We start from the raw sequence: 18,858 nt of genomic DNA on the forward strand, positions 1-18,858 counted from the left end.
AGAGTATTATCCTCTTACATATATTTAATTTAGGCTAATATTAAAACTATACATAAACCACTGGTGAATGACTAATCCCTAATGCATTTCTTTAGTTAATTGAATCTAGGAATGAATACATTTTAACTTCATAATTATGTTGCCTTCAGATTTCATAAAATGCTTTTTTTTAAAAATTCTGCTTTTCCCCCCCTCTTGTTTGTATTTTAGTTAATGGTTTTTAATGATCAAAAAATGACCTGATACTAACTCAGCCTTTAGGGGCCTATACCTTGCTTTTCCTAACAAGAAATGTGCATGCTTGAATATGTCAGAAGGAGTTGGATCATAGGAAGTGTAAGATGAATCTTAAATGGTCCCCTGAAAGGGAAGATGAAGAATTCACGTATTGGAGCCCATCTTTGTATGGGTAGATCTAGTGGGAGCTAGGGTCTCTCATGTACTACCCTGAAAGATAGCCAACTTGAATCCCAGGGTGAAGTCATTTTTAGATTACTATTTCTTAAATTTGAAAGATAAGTTTTTTTCACATTCCCATTTCACTCTCCAACTCTTTCATTACATTCTGTTACATACTAAAAAGCATGAACAATTAGATCTGGCTAGAGACTATAACTCCTATCTTACTAAGGGGAGAGGAAGGTAAAGAAATTTTTTGAGTATTTTCAAATATAAGGCCCAGGTGTTGAATGTGTTAATGTCATTGAATCCTCACAACAAACCTTAGAGTGATTTGTAGTCCCATTTTGTAAGAAATGGCTCGGAGTGGTTCAGTAACATGCTCAAGGTTACCTAGAGTGAACCAAGATGTCAATCCAGGTCTCTAATTCTAAATCGAGGACAGCTATTCATTTGCTAATTTACCCAAACAATTTGAAAATTTTGTTCATGTTGGAATAGATTAGAAATATTGAAATGGGTTACAAGTTGGTCAGTTATTTAGGAATCCAAAAGAATTGGCTGTGAATTGAAATAAGTATTATACAGTAAAGTACATGTTTTCAAAGTCATTAAATGTGTGTTTCTATAGGAAAATCTAGATAAGAGTTATCCTCTCAAAAAATCTTGGAGTTGTCTTTTTGTTCCTGATATTTTGAAACACATCTTGCTGTTTTTCCAATAAGATTTATTTTCCCAACATTTCCACTACTACCATACTAGTCCCTGACATTATTTCATAGTAGTCAACATTTTTATTGGGTGATTTTTGTGTTCAAAGTATTGTTCTGACTCCTTTTTGTCGTTTATTCTTAATAACTGAATATGAACTGGATCATTGCCCCATTCTTTGTAACTTACCAGAAAAACTCCTTATCATTCCCTATCCAGTGGTTTTCAGTGGCTGCATTTCTCAGTAGATCAAAGTCAGAGTTCTCATTCTATGGGGTCCTTTACAAACTAAACCTTGTAAAGGGTATCCGTTCTTTCTCTTTCTTGAATCAAACTTACTCCTCTTCTGTGCATTTATTTATATCTGGTGCTTTAACCTCTAGATCCAGTGCCTCCCTCCCACCTCTCTAGGCCTCTGAGTCCCTGACCAAATTTATGGTAGCTCTACCAGTAGCTTTTTTTTTTCTTTTTCTGAACACCCATTGCATTCAAAGCATTTTGTATTTTGATACCTGATTATATTCAATTCATTTCTTTATAATATATTGTCTTTTGATCTGACAGGAATGTCATGTGATTCCTGTCTTACATGGCACCTGGCACAGTGCTGAGCATGTTGTGGTACTAGATACATTTTCTGTATAGAATGTGCACACTGATTATAAAGTTTGTCCAAACTTCCATCTTTAAGAAGAAAGGCACGAAGGCCATTACTTTAATACTTTACATTTCTTAAAAGTTTAGACCTAAAATAGCAACAAACCTGGAAGTTACACACAGCCCAAAGCAATAATTAAAGTGGAAACATTGGAAGTTACCCGTAATTACACGGGTCTGCAGAAAATAAGAGGGGCAATAATTGTGCAGGTCGTATGTTCCCTGAGGGCTCCTTCTTAAGCAGAGCAGAAGAGCCTAGTAACAGTAAGCTCAGGGAGGAGAGGAGCAAAGAGTACAGATGGTGGATGTGAAACAGAGATCAGTGGAGATCAACAAGTGTGGCAGTATCAAGTAGATCTGTTGGATAGGACAAGAAGAACCAGAAAGTCAGGTGGGCACATTAGTGGAAGGGCAAAGAAGCCCTTGTCGTGGGACATCCAGTTTGGGAGATAGTGACTGTCCCCAGTTTTGATTTCTTTCCGTAATTTTTTTTTTTTTTTTTTTTTTTTTTTTGAGACGGAGTCTTGCTCTGTGGCCCAGGCTGGAGTGCAGTGGCGGGATCTCCGCTCACTGCAAGCTCCGCCTCCCGGGTTCACACCATTCTGCCTCAGCCTTCCGAGTAGCTGGGATTACAGGCGCCCGCCACCAGGCCGGCTAATTTTTTGTATTTTTAGTAGAGACGCGGTTTCACCATGTTAGCCAGGATGGTCTCGATCTCCTGACCTCGTGATCGCCTGTCTCGGCCTCTCAAAGTGCTGGGATTACAGGCATGAGCCACCGCGCCCGGCGTCTTTTAACCCTGTACCCATGGTTCCCTTATTAAAAATTTATCATCATCATTACTTTTTAAACAAATGAAATGACACAGACAGTTGAATTAATGTGACACTGGCATTTTTCTTAGCCTTTTGTTCCAGAGCCTATTTCTTGAGGTATGAGTGAGTTCCAGGCTCCTCTATGCAAAGAGCATGCATGTCTCAAAACACAGGACAGACTGCATTAGGGAGTGTGTGGGAAGGGCAAAATCTCTGGAGACAGTAAATGCTATGGAATGACTATTTGTGCTCTCCCAAAATTCATGTGTGAGATCCTAATCCCCAAAGCAGTGGTATTAGGAGGTGGGGATTTGCGGGGCAGTGACCTTATGAGTGTGGAGGAATGAGGGCTCTCATGAAAGGAAGAGGGCTACTCCTACCTCTCTCTGCCATGTGAGGATACAAGGAGATAGCTGTCTACCAATCAGTAAGAGAGCCCTTACCAGACATCGGGTCTGCCAGCACCTTGATCTTGGACTTTCTAGCCTCCAGAAATGTGAGAAATAAATTTCTGTTTAAGCCATTTAGTCTCTGATACTTGTTACAGCAGCCCAAAGTGAGTAAGACAATAAACAATCCTAATTCTTTCTTAAAAGTGGCCCTGGAGATGAATGAGAGCTGATTTAATAGTTTTTCTTTTTATTATTATTATTATTATACTTTAAGTTTTAGGGTACATGTGCACAATGTGCAGGTTAGTTACATACGTATACATGTGCCATGCTGGTGTGCTGCACCCATCAACTCGTCATTTGGCATTAGGTACATCTCCTAATGCTATCCCTCCCCCCTCCCCCCAGCCCACAACAGTCCCCAGAGTGTGATGTTCCCCTTCCTGTGTCCATGTGTTCTCATTGTACAATTCCCACCTATGAGTGAGAATATGCGGTGTTTGGTTTTTTGTCCTTGCGATAGTTTACTGAGAATGATGATTTCCAATTTCATCCATGTCCCTACAAAGGACATGAACTCATCATTTTTTATGGCTGCATAGTATTCCATGGTGTATATGTGCCACATTTTCTTAATCCAGTCTATCATTGTTGGACATTTGGGTTGGTTCCAAGTCTTTGCTATTGTGAATAGAGCCGCAATAAACATACGTGTGCATGTGTCTTTATAGCAGCATGATTTATAGTCCTTTGGGTATATACCCAGTAATGGGATGGCTGGGTCAAATGGTATTTCTAGTTCTAGATCCCTGAGGAATCGCCACACTGACTTCCACAATGGTTGAACTAGTTTACAGTCCCACCAACAGTGTAAAAGTGTTCCTATTTCTCCACATCCTCTCCAGCACCTGTTGTTTCCTGACTTTTTAATGATTGCCATTCTAACTGGTGTGAGATGGTATCTCATTGTGGTTTTGATTTGCATTTCTCTGACGGCCAGTGATGGTGAGCATTTTTTCATGTGTTTTTTGGCTGCATAAATGTCTTCTTTTGAGAAGTGTCTGTTCATGTCCTTTGCCCACTTTTTGATGGGGTTGTTTGTTTTTTTCTTGTATATTTGTTTGAGTTCATTGTAGATTCTGGATATTAGCCGTTTGTCAGATGAGTAGGTTGCGAAAATTTTCTCCCATTTTGTAGGTTGCCTGTTCACTCTGATGGTAGTTTCTTTTGCTGTGCAGAAGCTCTTTAGTTTAATTAGATCCCATTTGTCAATTTTGGCTTTTGTTGCCATTGCTTTCGGTGTTTTAGACATGAAGTCCTTGCCCATGCCTATGTCCTGAATGGTAATGCCTAGGTTTTCTTCTAGGGTTTTTATAGTTTTAGGTCTAACATGTAAGTCTTTAATCCATCTTGAATTAATTTTTGTATAAGGTGTAAGGAAGGGATCCAGTTTCAGCTTTCTACATATGGCTAGCTAGTTTTCCCAGCACCATTTATTAAATAGGGAATCCTTTCCCCATTGCTTGTTTTTGTCAGGTTTGTCAAAGATCAGATATTTGTAGATATGCAGCATTATTTCTGAGGGCTCTGTTCTGTTCCATTGATCTATATCTCTGTTTTGGTACCAGTACCATGCTGTTTTGGTTACTGTAGCCTTGTAGTATAGTTTGAAGTGAGGTAGCATGATGCCTCCAGCTTTGTTCTTTTGGCTAAGGATTGACTTGGTGGTGCGGGCTCTTTTTTGGTTCCATATGAACTTTAAAGTAGTTTTTTCCAATTCTGTGAAGAAAGTCATTGGTAGCTTGATGGGGATGGCATTGAATCTATAAATTATCTTGGGCAGTATGGCCATTTTCACGATATTGATTCTTCCTACCCATGAGCATGGAATGTTCTTCCATTTCTTTGTATCCTCTTTTATTTCATTGAGCAGTGGTTTGTAGTTCTCCTTGAAGAGGTCCTTCACATCCCTTTTAAGTTGGATTCCTAGGTATTTTATTCTCTTTGAAGCAATTGTGAATGGGAGTTCACTCATGATTTGGCTCTCTGTTTGTCTGTTATTGGTGTATAAGAATGCTTGTGATTTTTGTACATTGATTTTGTATCCTGAGACTTTGCTGAAGTTGCTTATCAGCTTAAGGAGATTTTGGGCTGAGACAATGGGGTTTTCTAGATATACAATCATGTCATCTGCAAACAGGGATAATTTGACTTCCTCTTTTCCTAATTGAATACCCTTTATTTCCTTCTCCTGCCTGATTGCCCTGGCCAGAACTTCCAACACTATGTTGAATAGGAGTGGTAAGAGAGGGCATCCCTGTCTTGTGCCAGTTTTCCAAGGGAATGCTTCCAGTTTTTGCCCATTCCATATGATATTGGCTGTGGGTTTGTCATAGATAGCTCTTATTATTTTGAGATACGTCCCATCAATACCTAATTTATTGAGTTTTTAGCATGAAGCGTTGTTGAATTTTGTCAAAGGCCTTTTCTGCATCTATTGAGATAATCATGTGGTTTTGTCTTTTGTTCTGTTTATATGATTTAATAGTTTTTCAAGCCTGCCATCCCTCCCAGTCTATTACTGTATTTCACCATTACCTATATTTGGATATCCTGCCATTAGTCATTAACTAGTCATTAACACCTTGAGTTATAGACACACAGGCACCAAGTATAGAGTTTCACCCAATAGATTATAAATTTTGTGAAGGTGGGCACAATACTCTTTCCTCCATGGAAAGACCAATGCCTTTGACACATAGCTGACATTCAATAAACATTTAGTGAATGAAAAAATTCCTGGCATACAGAAAATATTCCACTACATAATGATATTGATGGAAATATATTAATATTTAAATACATTTGCACTCCAAAGTCACTTTCTGCAGGAGTGGAAAGCTCTAGAACTTTCAGTAGTCTCCATTTGCATCACTGTGCACCCCACAAGCTTGTAAAGGCTGCAGTATGCCGTTGGATTAATCTGGGTATTAAACTCAAGGTAATCATAAAGGTGATAACGCAGTACAAGGTGATGGTTACACTTATCATTAAAACACAAACATGTAATTAAAACAATCATGTTAATAATTGAAATGCAATCATTAAAGGTTGGTTTACGTGCCATTTTGTTTATTGGAATACAAGGTAGTTGGGGTAGGTGGCCAAAATAATGTTTTATGCTGTTTTTCACTTAAAAGAAAAACAATAGAAGGCTTTTTTGAAGGGAAGGAGAATTCAGATTTTTCCATGTGCAAATTTTACCTTATATTTGGAATATATATGTTTAATAACAATGATTTGTGTTCCATTTTATAAGGGGAGTAGCTAATCTAAAACATAAACCATTTTTGTTCTAATAGTGCAATTTATTTCCCTTATTAGAATCATTATTTATGCTTAGAGCCTCAAATTCAAGAAAACATATTAATGAATAATTCATTGCCCTCTAATTCTTATTTATGTGAGTAAAACCCGAAGAGAGAAAAGGCAAATCATGGAGAATTTTTCAGAAGAAGGTCATTTTAGCAAAATGTGCTATCTCCTACTAAGAGATGGAAAAAAATGCAAAGGAGTAGGAATACTGGAATGTGAGAAAAATATAGGCTTAGATTACAATGCAGCTCAGAAAAGAGCACACTTTTTGATATGCCTTGGGATTAAACAGTACTATAGCATTTTGTTGAATTTCCCTTTCTGCTTGAACCTCTTCTTCCTCTGGAGATATTAGTAGTCCCTCAATCCGGTCCCTCTTCTTTCTTTTTTTCTCCATTCACATTTTTTATTGTTGTTACTGTTTTTAATAATCACAAACTTACAGAAAGTTGGAAGTACAGTAAAAGAATTATTTTTAAATCATTTTGAAAATAAGTTCCTGAACTAATGCACCATCACCTGTGAATATTTCCATGTGTATTTACTAAAAATATGCTATACATTCATAATGCAACCATTGCAATCAAGAAATTAACAAATAATTTCTTGATCCCTAAGATCCCTTTCAAGTCTTGCTAGTTATCTTGATAATGTCCTTTATATTAAAAGGACTGAGTTTCAAACCACAAGTTGCATTTAGTTACGAAATCTCTTTAGTTTCTGTATTGGCTGGATAATGGCTCCAAGGTAGCTGGTTCTAATCCCTGGAATCTGTATGTTACCTTGTAAGGAAAAATATTTTGCAGATGTGACAAAATTAAGGTTCTTGACTTGGGAAGATTATCCTGGACTATCTGGGTAGGCTCTTAATCCAATCATAACTGCCATAAGAGAGAGGCAGAGGGAGATTTGACACACACAGAGAGGAGAAGGATATGTGAAGATGGAGGTGGAGACTGCAGTGATGAGATCACGAGACAAGGAAGCCGAGGAACACCAGCAGCCACAGAAACTAGAAGCAAGGAAAGACTCCTCCCCAGAAGCCTTTGGAGGGGGTGGTCCTGCTGGTGCTTAATTTCAGACTTGGGACCTCCAGAATGACCAGAGAATGAATCCCCATTGTTTTAATCTTCCATGATTGTGGTAATTTATTACGGCTTTCATAGGGAGATAATACAGATTTTGGTAGAGGAAATGGGGAAATAGCTTTGGAGTTAGTGAACAGGGCTAGAAGAATTTTGAGAAATGTACTACGAAAAATGTAGATTGCCTTAAAGAGACTGTTGGTAGCAATGTGGACATTAACTGGGCTTCTGGTATGGATTCAGAAAGAAGTGAGGGGCATGGTAGGAGTGCCTCGATCATCAGCAGCATTTTGGAGAAAGCTGAGGCCTATAGTCCATCCGGTAACATTACATGGTTCCTTTGAATATCACTGGACTCTTTCACCAAAGGTGCTGTGCTTCTTAGGTCCAATAAGAGGAAGACAAGCTGAATATTAGATTAGATTAGAATTACCTTGTAAGATGTCAACAAGTATACTTTACACAGAGGAACCCTGAAATTAAAGAGCCTGCAATCTAATCTTCACTGTTCCACATATAAAATGAGAAAGTTAAATATAGTATGTGGTGAAGGAGCCTTATATTTTCCACCTTGTTTTTGGATTGTCAAAATAGTGACGCGGTTAACAATTTAAAGTCAAGCTATATAAAACGTTTATTTTTTGCCTACAAATGTGGTTTACAATTCTATCAAATGTCACAGTTTTCTCATAAAAAGTCTCATTTTATTTAATGAGCTTGTAAATATGATTGAACTGCTATTGAAAGTGATTCTTTCTTCTGTAATTTAAGAAGTTGTGTGACCTTGGGATGATATTTCACCTTTCAGGGCCTTGTGAAAAGTGGGCGTTTGGCTCAGTTGGTTCTAGTGGCCGCATCCAGCAAGGGCTTTCTTTTCTTTTTTTTTTTTTGAGATGGAGCCTCGCCCTGTCGCCCAGGCTGGAGCGCAGTGGCGCAATCTCGGCTCACTGCAAGCTCTGCCTCCTGGGTTCATGCCATGCTCCTGCCTCAACCTCCCTAGTAGCTGGGACTACAGGCGCCTGCCACCTTGCCCAGCTAATTTTTTGTATTTCAGTAGAGACGGGGTTTCACCATGTTAGCCAGGGTGGTCTCGATCTCCTGACCTCATGATCCGCCTACCTCGGCCTCCCAAAGTGTTGGGATTACAGGCATGAGCCACCGTGCCCGGCCTAGCAAGGGCTTTCTATGATTCCGAGTATATAGAAATCAAAAGCATTTTAGATTCCCATAAGGTTGATCAAAAGTATAGGATGTCTTCTTTAAAATATATGAATTTACTTTGAATAAGAATGCTCATTGTAGTACATTATGGATAAATGCACATTCAACTTTTGTTTACCTGGTTCTTTAATCCAGTCATAAGGAAAAAAAGACAGTTTGTCAGCAGTGTTTAAATGTATGTGTCTTGGATCAATTTAAATGCTATAGATACTCCAGTTTTACAGTCATATTCTAGAGCAAAGTAAACACTTGGAAGATGGCTATGGCATGGGATAATTTCCTTTTTGTAAAAACAGTTTTTACATCAAACGGTTTTACATCAAACTGTCTCTGTTTGTCTCATCAGAGAAGTATCAAAAGAGATAGAAATTATTTTAAATAATGAACTAACTGGAAATTCTGATGTTGAAAGGCACAATCACTGAAATGAAAAATTCACTAAACAGGCTTAACAGCAGAATCAAACTGGCAGAAGTAATCAGCAAACTTGAATATCGACTTCATAAAGTTTATATAAACTTGATCAAGACTAGGCAATCTGAAACACAGAGATCAAAAGAAGAGTGAAGAAAAATGAGCAGAGCCTCAAAGAACTGCACCAACATGCACATAATGGTAGTGCCAGAAAGAGAGGAGAGAAAAGAGCAGAAAAAATATCCAAAGAAATAATGACCAAAAATTCCCCAAATTTGATAAAAAACATCAATCTATACACCCAAGATCAAGGAACTCCAAGTAGGATGAGCACAAAGTGATCCATACCTAGAAACAGCAAAGGAAAAATGCTGAAAAACAAGAGAGAAAATATTGAACGCAGCAAGAGTAGAACAACTCATCATGTATAAAGAAATCCCCAATAAGATTAACAGCTGACTAATCTTCAGAATTGATTAGAGGAAGACAGAAAGTAGTGGTATTAAATATTCAAAGTACTGAAAGAGAACTGTCAAACAACATCTTATATTCAACAAAACTTTCAGAAATGAACATGAAACAAAATATTCCTAGAAACAAGAACATAATTTTTGTGAGCAGGACCCACCTTGCGAGAAATACTAAAGGAAGTCATTCACACTGAAAGTAAGTAATCATATATGGTAATTTGAATCCACACACAAAAAAACAAAAAGCACTGGTAAAGATAATTATGTAATTAGAGAAGACAGTATACATGCATATTTATTCTCCTTTTCTTAAATTATGTAAATAACTTGCATAAAATATATATGCATAATTGTATTATTCAGTCTACAACAAATAAATATGTAATTTGATGATAAAAACAAAGGAAGTGGGTAGGAGGAAAGCTGCCATGGAATAATGAAATGACATCAGATAGTAACTTGAATCCACAGGGGAAAAAAAGTGGACCTAAAATGGTAAGTAAGAAGACTATTATAACAAACTCTATAAATATACTTGCTTTGCTTTTATCCCTAAGTCTCCTTAGTAAATATAAAAATTGTATAAGTAAAATTATAAGAATTTATTTTGGTTTTGGTTTTATAATATGCATAGATGTTTACATGTATAACAATATCATCAAAAGAGGAAAGAGGGAAGAGAGCTATGTAGAAGTTACATTTCTGTATCTCACTGGAATTAAGTTAGTATAAATTTCAAGTAGATTCTGATAAGCTATGATAAGTATGGTAAGTCTTAGAGAAATCAATAAGGAAATCACTTAAAAATATATTATGAGGCCAGTTGTGGTAGCTCCTCTAGCCCTTTGAGAGGCTAAGGCAAGATGGTGAATTGAGGCCAGGAGTTTGAGAAAAACCTGGGCAATAGCAAGTCCCCATTTTCTACAAAAATAAATAAATGAATAAAATTTGCTTGGTGAGGTGGTGTACACCTGTAGTCCAAGCTACTCAGGAGGCTGAAGCAAGAGGATGGCTTGAGCTCAGGAATTTGAGGCTGCAGTGAGCAATGATTGTGCCATTGCTCTCCAGCTTGGTCAACCCGGTTTAAAAGAAATATATATGTATATTAATATAGTAAATATAGTGAAAAAATATATACATCGTGAAAAAATTATTAAAGGAATTGAATTAAATAACGCTACACTCAAAAACATTAATGCAAAGTAAAGCAGTAAAGGAGAAATAGAGAAAATAAAAGATATGAGACATGTAGAAAACAAAAACTAAAATGGCAGACATAAATATAACTATACCAAATGATAACATTAAATGCAAATGGATTAAATAGTCCAATTTAAAGTCAGAGATCGCTGACAATCAATTAGGGTGGGCAATCGGATTCAGCAATGTACTCTCTAGAGGACATACTTTATATTGAAAGATACAAATAGGTTTAAAGTAGAATAATGGTAAATGATATAACAAATGCAAACAGTAACTATAAGAAAACTTAAGTGGCTATACTTCTATCAGACACAGTGGTAGGATGGCTGAATATTCCCCAGATGAGATGGGGAGATTATGCTGGATTATCAAGTGAGCTTCATGTAGTAACAAGAGTCATTATGAGGGGTACCAGGATGTCAAAGTGATAAGTTAGAGATACAACAACAGAAGCAAGAGATTGTAGAGATATGAGGAAGGAATTACAAACCGAGAAATGCAGGCAGTTACTAGAAGCTTAAAAAAGGCAAGTGAACTAATTCTCTCAGAGTTTGCAGGGGAACCAGCCTACCAATATCTTGAATTTAGCTCATGAAACTGATTTTTGATATCTGACTGCAGACAAGTAAGAGAAGTAAGAGAATGAATTGACATTTTAAGCCACAAAATCTTAAAAAATTTGTTATAGTACCAATATAAAATTAAGACAGGCAGGATAGATTGTAAAAATAAAATATTACCAAAGATAAGGAGGGTTATTTTATATTGATAAAGGGTCAATCCATCAGAAAGATATAACAATTGTAAACATATATACACCTAACCATAGAGCCCTATAATACACAAAAGAAAAACTGACAAAAGTGAAAGAAAAAAATAGACAATTCAACATGTCATAGACTTTAGTACTACACATTCAATAATGGATAGAACAAATCAGCAGAAGACCAACAAGAAAATATAAAACTTATGCAAACTATAAACCGAATAGACTTCACATACACAGATAAAATACACAAAAGCAGCAGAATACATATTCTTTTCAAGCAGACATGGAAGATCTTTCAGGATTCCATAGGCTAAGTTATAAAACCAATCTTAGAAAATTTAAAAGGATAGAAATAACAAAGCATATTCACCAAGCAGAATGGGCTGAAACTAGAATTCAATGACAGAAAGAAATTTGAGAAACTCGCAAATATATTGAAATTCAAGAACACACTGCTAAATAACCAGTGGGTAAAAGAAGAAATCACAAAGAGAATTAGAAAATGCTTTAAGATAAATGAAAATAAATATAAAACACACCAAAACTTAATATGCAGCTAAAAACAGGCATACAGCTTAGTGGGAAATTTATAAGTGTAAAATACTGTATTTTTTAAAAGTTCTTAAATTGATGGACCAATATTCCATCTTGAGACACTAAAAGAAGAGCAAATTGAACACAAAGCAAGCAGATTAAAAATAATAAATATTAGTGTTGAAATTAATGAAATAAAGAATAGTAAAACAATAGATAAAAATCAGTGAAACAAAAAGTTGGTTCTTTGAAAAAGACCAATAAGGTTGAAGAACCTTTTACTAGACTGATGAAACAAAAGAGAGAGAGAGAGAATAATTATGTTAATAACATCAGGAATGGAGGGGACATTGCTGCTGAAATTAAAAGATTTAAAGAAATGTAGTAGTAACGACTTATCTGTGGGAGATATGTTCCAAAATCCCAAGTGGATGCTTGAAACCACAGATAATATTGAACTCTTCATATACTATATTTTTTCCTTATTATACATACCTGTGATAGATTTATCAATTTCGCTCAGCATGAGATTAACAATAACTAATAAAAACAGAATAATTATAGAAATATACTATAACAAAAATATGCAAATGTAGTCTGTTTCTCTCTCTCAAAATATCTTATTGTACTGTACTTGCCTTTATTCTTCTTGTGATAATGCAAGATGATGAGCTGCCTACCCACTGAGAGAAAATGAGGTGAATGACTTGTGTGTTGTGGCATAGTGTTAGGCTACTACAGATCCTCTGGTAATGTTAGAAGGACCATGTGCTTTGGGTTATCTCAGATCACTGAGCCACGACAATATCAATGGTTGGATGTCAGGATGATCTGATAAGCAAGACAGCAACTAATTGACTAATGTGTGGGTATAATATGCAGCACAGGGTATGATTTATGTCCTGGGCAAGATGAAGCGGGATTGACTAGGTGTGATGACACACATTTGTAGTCCCAGCTACTGGGGAGGCTAAGGTTGGAGGATCACTTGAGTCCAATAGTTCAAGGCTGCAGTGAGTTATGATTGCACTACTGCACTCCAGTGAGACCCTGTCTCTATTAAAAAAAAAAAAAAAGTGAGGCAGGATGACATGAGATTTTATCACACTACTTAGAATGGTGTGCAATTTAAAATTTATGAATTGTTTATTTCTGGTGTTTTCTATTTAATATTTTTGGACTGCAATTTACTGCAGGTAACTGGAACTATGGAAAGTGAAATGACAAATAAGGGCAGGACTGCTGTACCATCAACAATCAACAAATTAGATAATTTAGATCAAATGGGACAAAATTTGTAGAAAGATACAAGCTCTCAAAACTGACTGAAGAAGAAATAAAAAATCGGAATAGACCTGAAACAAGTAAAGAGACTGAATAAATAATCAAAATCCATCCAACAAAGAAAATTCTAATTCCAGATCCTTCATTAGTGAATTGCTCCAAATCTTTAAAGAAGAATTAACAGCAATCCTACACAAACTCTTCCAAAAAATAAAAGATGAGTGAACATATTCCAAATTATTCTATGAGGTTAGTGTTACTCTGATACCAAAGCCAGACAAAGAAATTACAAGACAGAAAACTAAGGATCAAGCTACCCATATAAATATAGGTACAAAATCCTCATAACATACCAGCCAACTGAATCCAGCAATATATAAAAGAATCAATTGCCATGACCAAGTGGCATTTATCACAGGAATGCAAAGATGGTTTAAAATCTAAGCATTAACTAATGCAATACACCATATGTTTTACTCCACTCGGGCTCACATGACTGATTAGCTTAAAAAATAGACATTTTCTCACAGTTCTGAAAGCTAAAAGTCCATGATCAAGGTGCCAACAAATTCAGTTTCTGGTGAGGGTTCTCCTCCTGACTTGTAGTTGATCACCTTCTCACTGTATTCTCACATGGCTTTTCCTCTGTGGAGGGAGGGAGGGAGGGAGGGAGGGAGTGAGGGAGAGAGAGAGAGAGAGAGAGAGATTTCTCTTGTCTCTTCTTCTTTGAAGGACACCAGTACTATGGGTTTACAGCCCACCCTTATGCCTTCATTTAACCTTAATTACCTCCTTAAAGGCTCTATCTCCTTAAAACAAAACAAAACAAAACAAAAAACCGTTAAAAAACTAGGAATAGACAGGAACTAACTCAATATCATAATAAGCATTTAGAAAATACAGCCAACATCAGACCCAATGATGAAAGACTGGAATCTTCCCCCTAAGATCAGGAACAAGACAAGAATATATACTCTTGTCACTTCTAATTCCACATTTTACTAGAGGTTCTATTCAGGACAGTTAGGAAAGAAAATAAAATAACAAAGCATATAGACAAGAAAGGAAGAAGTAAAACTATATTAGCAGATCATATGATCTTGTACATAGAAAACCATAAAGAAATCCACTAAAAAACATTGGAACTATTATACGTATTCAATAAGGACGCAGGGTTGAAGATCAAGATGGAATATTACTTTTATTTCCATATATTGTTAAAAAATCCAATATGATGGGAAGTATTGAGGATTGATTTGTTTATGCCAAAAATGATATACTGAAATTCTAATTTCTAGAACCTATGCATGTGACCGTATATAGAACTAGGGTCTTTGAAAATATAATTAAAATGTAAGTTGAGATCCTGCTGAAGAAGGATGAGCCCTTAATTCAATATAACTGGTGTCCTTATAAATAAGAGTAGAAGAGAAATGGATACATATACACATAAAGAGCAGAACACCACATGAAGTCACATAGACACGCACACACACACACACACGATCGCCATGTGACAATCAAGGCAGACACTGGAGTTGTGCAGCTTCAAGCCCAGGAACCCCAAACATTCCCATGAATCATTTAGAAACTACCAGTGAAAGTATGGCCCTGTTTACACCTTTATTTCAGACTTCTCTCATTTAGGACTGTGAGAGAGTAAATTTCTGTGGTTTTAAGTCTCTAAGTTTTTGGTTATTTATTATGGCAGCCCTAATACAGATAAGGGAAGACTACTATACTCTCCAAAGATAGACCAATATGTTCCCCTATCAAAATCGAAGCTGGTGCTTTGTTTATTTTTCTAGAAATAGACAAGCTGATCCTAAAATTTATACATGAATGCAAGGGACCCAGAATAGCCAGAATGATCTTAGAAAAGAAGAACAAAATTAGAGATCTTATCTATGCTTATTTTAAAACCTACTGCAAAGCTACAATAATCAAGACATACAGGCATAAGAATAGACATAAATCAATGGACTAGGGTTGAAATTCTATAAACAATCATATATTTACATTCAATTGATGTTTTGGCAAGAGTTCCAGGACACTTCAATGGGGAAAGGAAAGTCTTTGCAATAAATAGTGGTAATGTTAATATTCATGCAAAAGAATGAATCTGGATTTCTACATCATGCCATCCAAAAAATTGAATCAAAATGGAGCAAAGACCTAAATTTAAGAGCTAAAATGATGAAACTCTTTGAGGATAACATAGGCATCACTTTGTGACCTTGGGTTAGACAATGGTTTCTTTGATATCATGACAAAAACGTAAGTGACAAAAACAAAACAAACAAGAAAAACAGAAATTGGGCTTGATTTAAAAATTATGCTTCAAAGGACACTATCAAAAGTGTGAAAAGACAACCTACAGTTTAGGAGAAAATTTGTGCAAATCATATATATGATAAGAGACGTGTTTGTAGAATATATAAAGGACACCTACAACTCAATAATATAAAGACAAACAAACCAATTTAAAAATGGGCCAAGGATTTGAATGCACATTATCCAAACAAGATCTACAGTTGGCCAATAAACACACAGAAGATGTACAGTGTCATCAGTCATAAGGAAATGTGAATCAAAACAATGAGATGCTATTTTTATACCTATTAGGATGGCCATAATAAAAAAAGATTAGCAAATAGCAACTGTCAGTGAAGATGTGGACAAAATTTGAACAATCATGCACTGATGGTAAAAGTGTAAAATGGAGCAGCCACTTTGGAAAACAGTTTAGCAATTCATAAAAATCTTAAAAATGCAGTTAGCGCATGACCCAGGATTTATACTCCAGGAGAAATGAAACATATGACCACACAAACCTTATACCTGAATATTCATAGCAGCATTATTTGTAATAGCAAAAAGTAGAAACAACCCAAATGTCCATTAACTGATAATAGGATAAATTAAATATGGTAGATTCATATGATGTAATGTTATTTAGCAATGGAAATGGAGTAATGATAGATGCTGCAACATGCATGACCATTCAAAACATGCCAAGTGAAGGAAGCCAGTCCCAAAAGACCCATACTGTGTGATACCAATGATTCAAAATGTCCATAATAGGTGACTCTACTGAGACAGAAAGAAGATCAGTGGTTACTTAGAACTAGGGGCATCGGGAGAAATGAGGAATGACTGTTAATAGACAAAGGTTTCTTTTTGGGGTGATGAGAATGTTCTAAAATGAACTGTTGTGATGGTTGCACAACTCTCTGAAAATACCAAATATTGAATTGTACCTTGGAAAGATTAAATAGTATTACATGTAAACTGTATCTCAATAAAGCTGTTATAATGAATGAGACCATTTAGGGATATTCTAGGTTAAAAAAAATGTTGAATTCAAATGATTGTAGTGGATCTGGAGAGTTGTAGAAAGATTCAAGATATACTTGGAATGTAACTGATTGGGAGTGGTGCAGGAAAGTATAAAATTAATACTTCTATAATTCTGCCTAGGAGAACACAAGGATTTGTGAGAAAGATGAGAAGTTGAAATCAGGTTTATGATGAATTTGAAATGCCTATAAAACAAGGTAATGAACTTTTTTATTATTTAAAATGGTCAATTCTTGTCCTCTGCTTTGGCAATTATTCCACATAATGGGTCAGAGCCCATCTCCCACTATGGGATGCCCCTCTCACAGATAAGGCCCAGGTTCCATATGTGACCTAGATTTTTTATTAACTTTCATTTCAGGTTCAGGGGTAAATGTGCAGGTTTGTTATATAGGCAAATTGCATGTCACAGGGGTTTGATTTACAGATTATTTTGCTACCCAGGTAATAAGTGTAGTACCCAATAGGTAGTTTTTTGATCCTCATCCATCTCCCTCCCTTTACCCTCAAATAGGCCCAAGCACCTGTTGTTCCCTTCTTTGTGTCCACATGTACTCAGTTTTTAGCTCCCATTTATAAGTAAGAACATGTGGTATTTGGCTTTCTCTTCCTGTTCTAGTTGACTTAGGATAATGGCCTTCAGCTCTATCCATGTTGCTACAAAGGATATCATCTCATGCTTTTTTATGACTGCATAGTATTTCATGGTGTATATGTACCACATTTTCTTTATCCAGTCTACAGTTGATGGGCATTTAGGTTGATTCCATGTTTTTGCTATTGTGAATAACATGCAGGTACATGTCTCTTTATGGTAGGATGATTTATATTTCTTTGGGTATATACTGAGTAATGGAATTGCTGGGTAGAATGGTAATTCTGCTTTGAGTTCTTTGAGAAATTGCCAAACTGTTTTCCACATTTGCTGAGCTAATTTGAATTCCCACCAGCAGTGCATAAGTGTTCTCTTTTTTCCCACAACTTCACTAGCATCTGCTATTTTTTGACTTTTTAATGATAGCCATTCTAACTAGCATGAGACGGTATCTCATTGTGGTTTTGACTTGCATTTTGCTAATGATTACTAATGTGGAGCATTTTTTCATATGCTTGTTGGCTATGTATCTGTTTTCTCTTCCAGGGTTTTTATAATTTTAGGTTGTTCATTTAAGCTTTTAATCCATCTTGAATTAATTTTGGGTTATAGTGTAAGGAAGCGGTCCAGTTTCAATATTCTGCATATGTCTAGTCAGTTATCCCAGCACCATTCATTGACTAGAGAGACCTTTTTCCCATTGATTGTTTTTGTTGACTGTCAAAAATCAGGTGATTTTAAGTGTGGGGCATTATTTCTGGCCTCTCCATTGTGTTCCATTAGTCTATGTGTCTGTTTTTGCACCAGTACCATGCTGTTTTGTTACTGTAACCTTGTACTGTAGTTTGAAGTCAGGTAATGTGATGCCTCCTGCTTTGTTCTTTTTGCTTAGGATTGCCTTGGCTATTCAGGCTTTTTTTTGGTTCCATATGAATTTTAAAATAATTTTTTTCTAATTCTGTGAACAATTTCATTGGTAATTTGATAAGAATGTCATTGAATCTGCAATTGCTTTGGGCAGTATGGCCATTTAAAAAATATTGATTCTTCCTATCCATGAGCATGGATTTTTTTTTATTTGTTTGTGTCATCTTTGATTTTTTGTGCAGTGTTTTGTATTTCTCATTGTAGAGATTTTTTTTCCTCCCTGGTTAGCTGTATTCCTAGGTATTTCTTTTTATGGGTAAAGTGAATCAGATTACATTCTCGATTTAGCTCTCAGCTTAGATGTTGTTGGTGTATAGGAATGCAATTGATTTTTTTACATTGATTTTGTATCCTGAAACTTCATGGAAGCGGTTTATGCCATCTCAGAGCTTTTGCACAGAGACTGTGGGTTTTTCTAGGTATAGAATCATATTGTCTGAAAACAGGGATAGTTTGATTTCCTCTCTTCTTATTGGATGCCTTTTTTTTTTCTTGCCTGATTGTTCTGGCCAGGACTTTCAGCACTGTATCAAATAGGAGTGGTGACAGAAAGTATCTTTGTCTTGTTCCGATTTTTAAGGAGAATGCTTCTAGGTTTTGTTCATTCAGCATAATGTTGGCTGTGGGGTCGTCATAGATGGCCCTTA

Source organism: Homo sapiens, chromosome 13 (assembly GCF_000001405.40).
Source record: "Homo sapiens chromosome 13, GRCh38.p14 Primary Assembly".
NCBI classification, from domain to species: domain Eukaryota; kingdom Metazoa; phylum Chordata; class Mammalia; order Primates; family Hominidae; genus Homo; species Homo sapiens.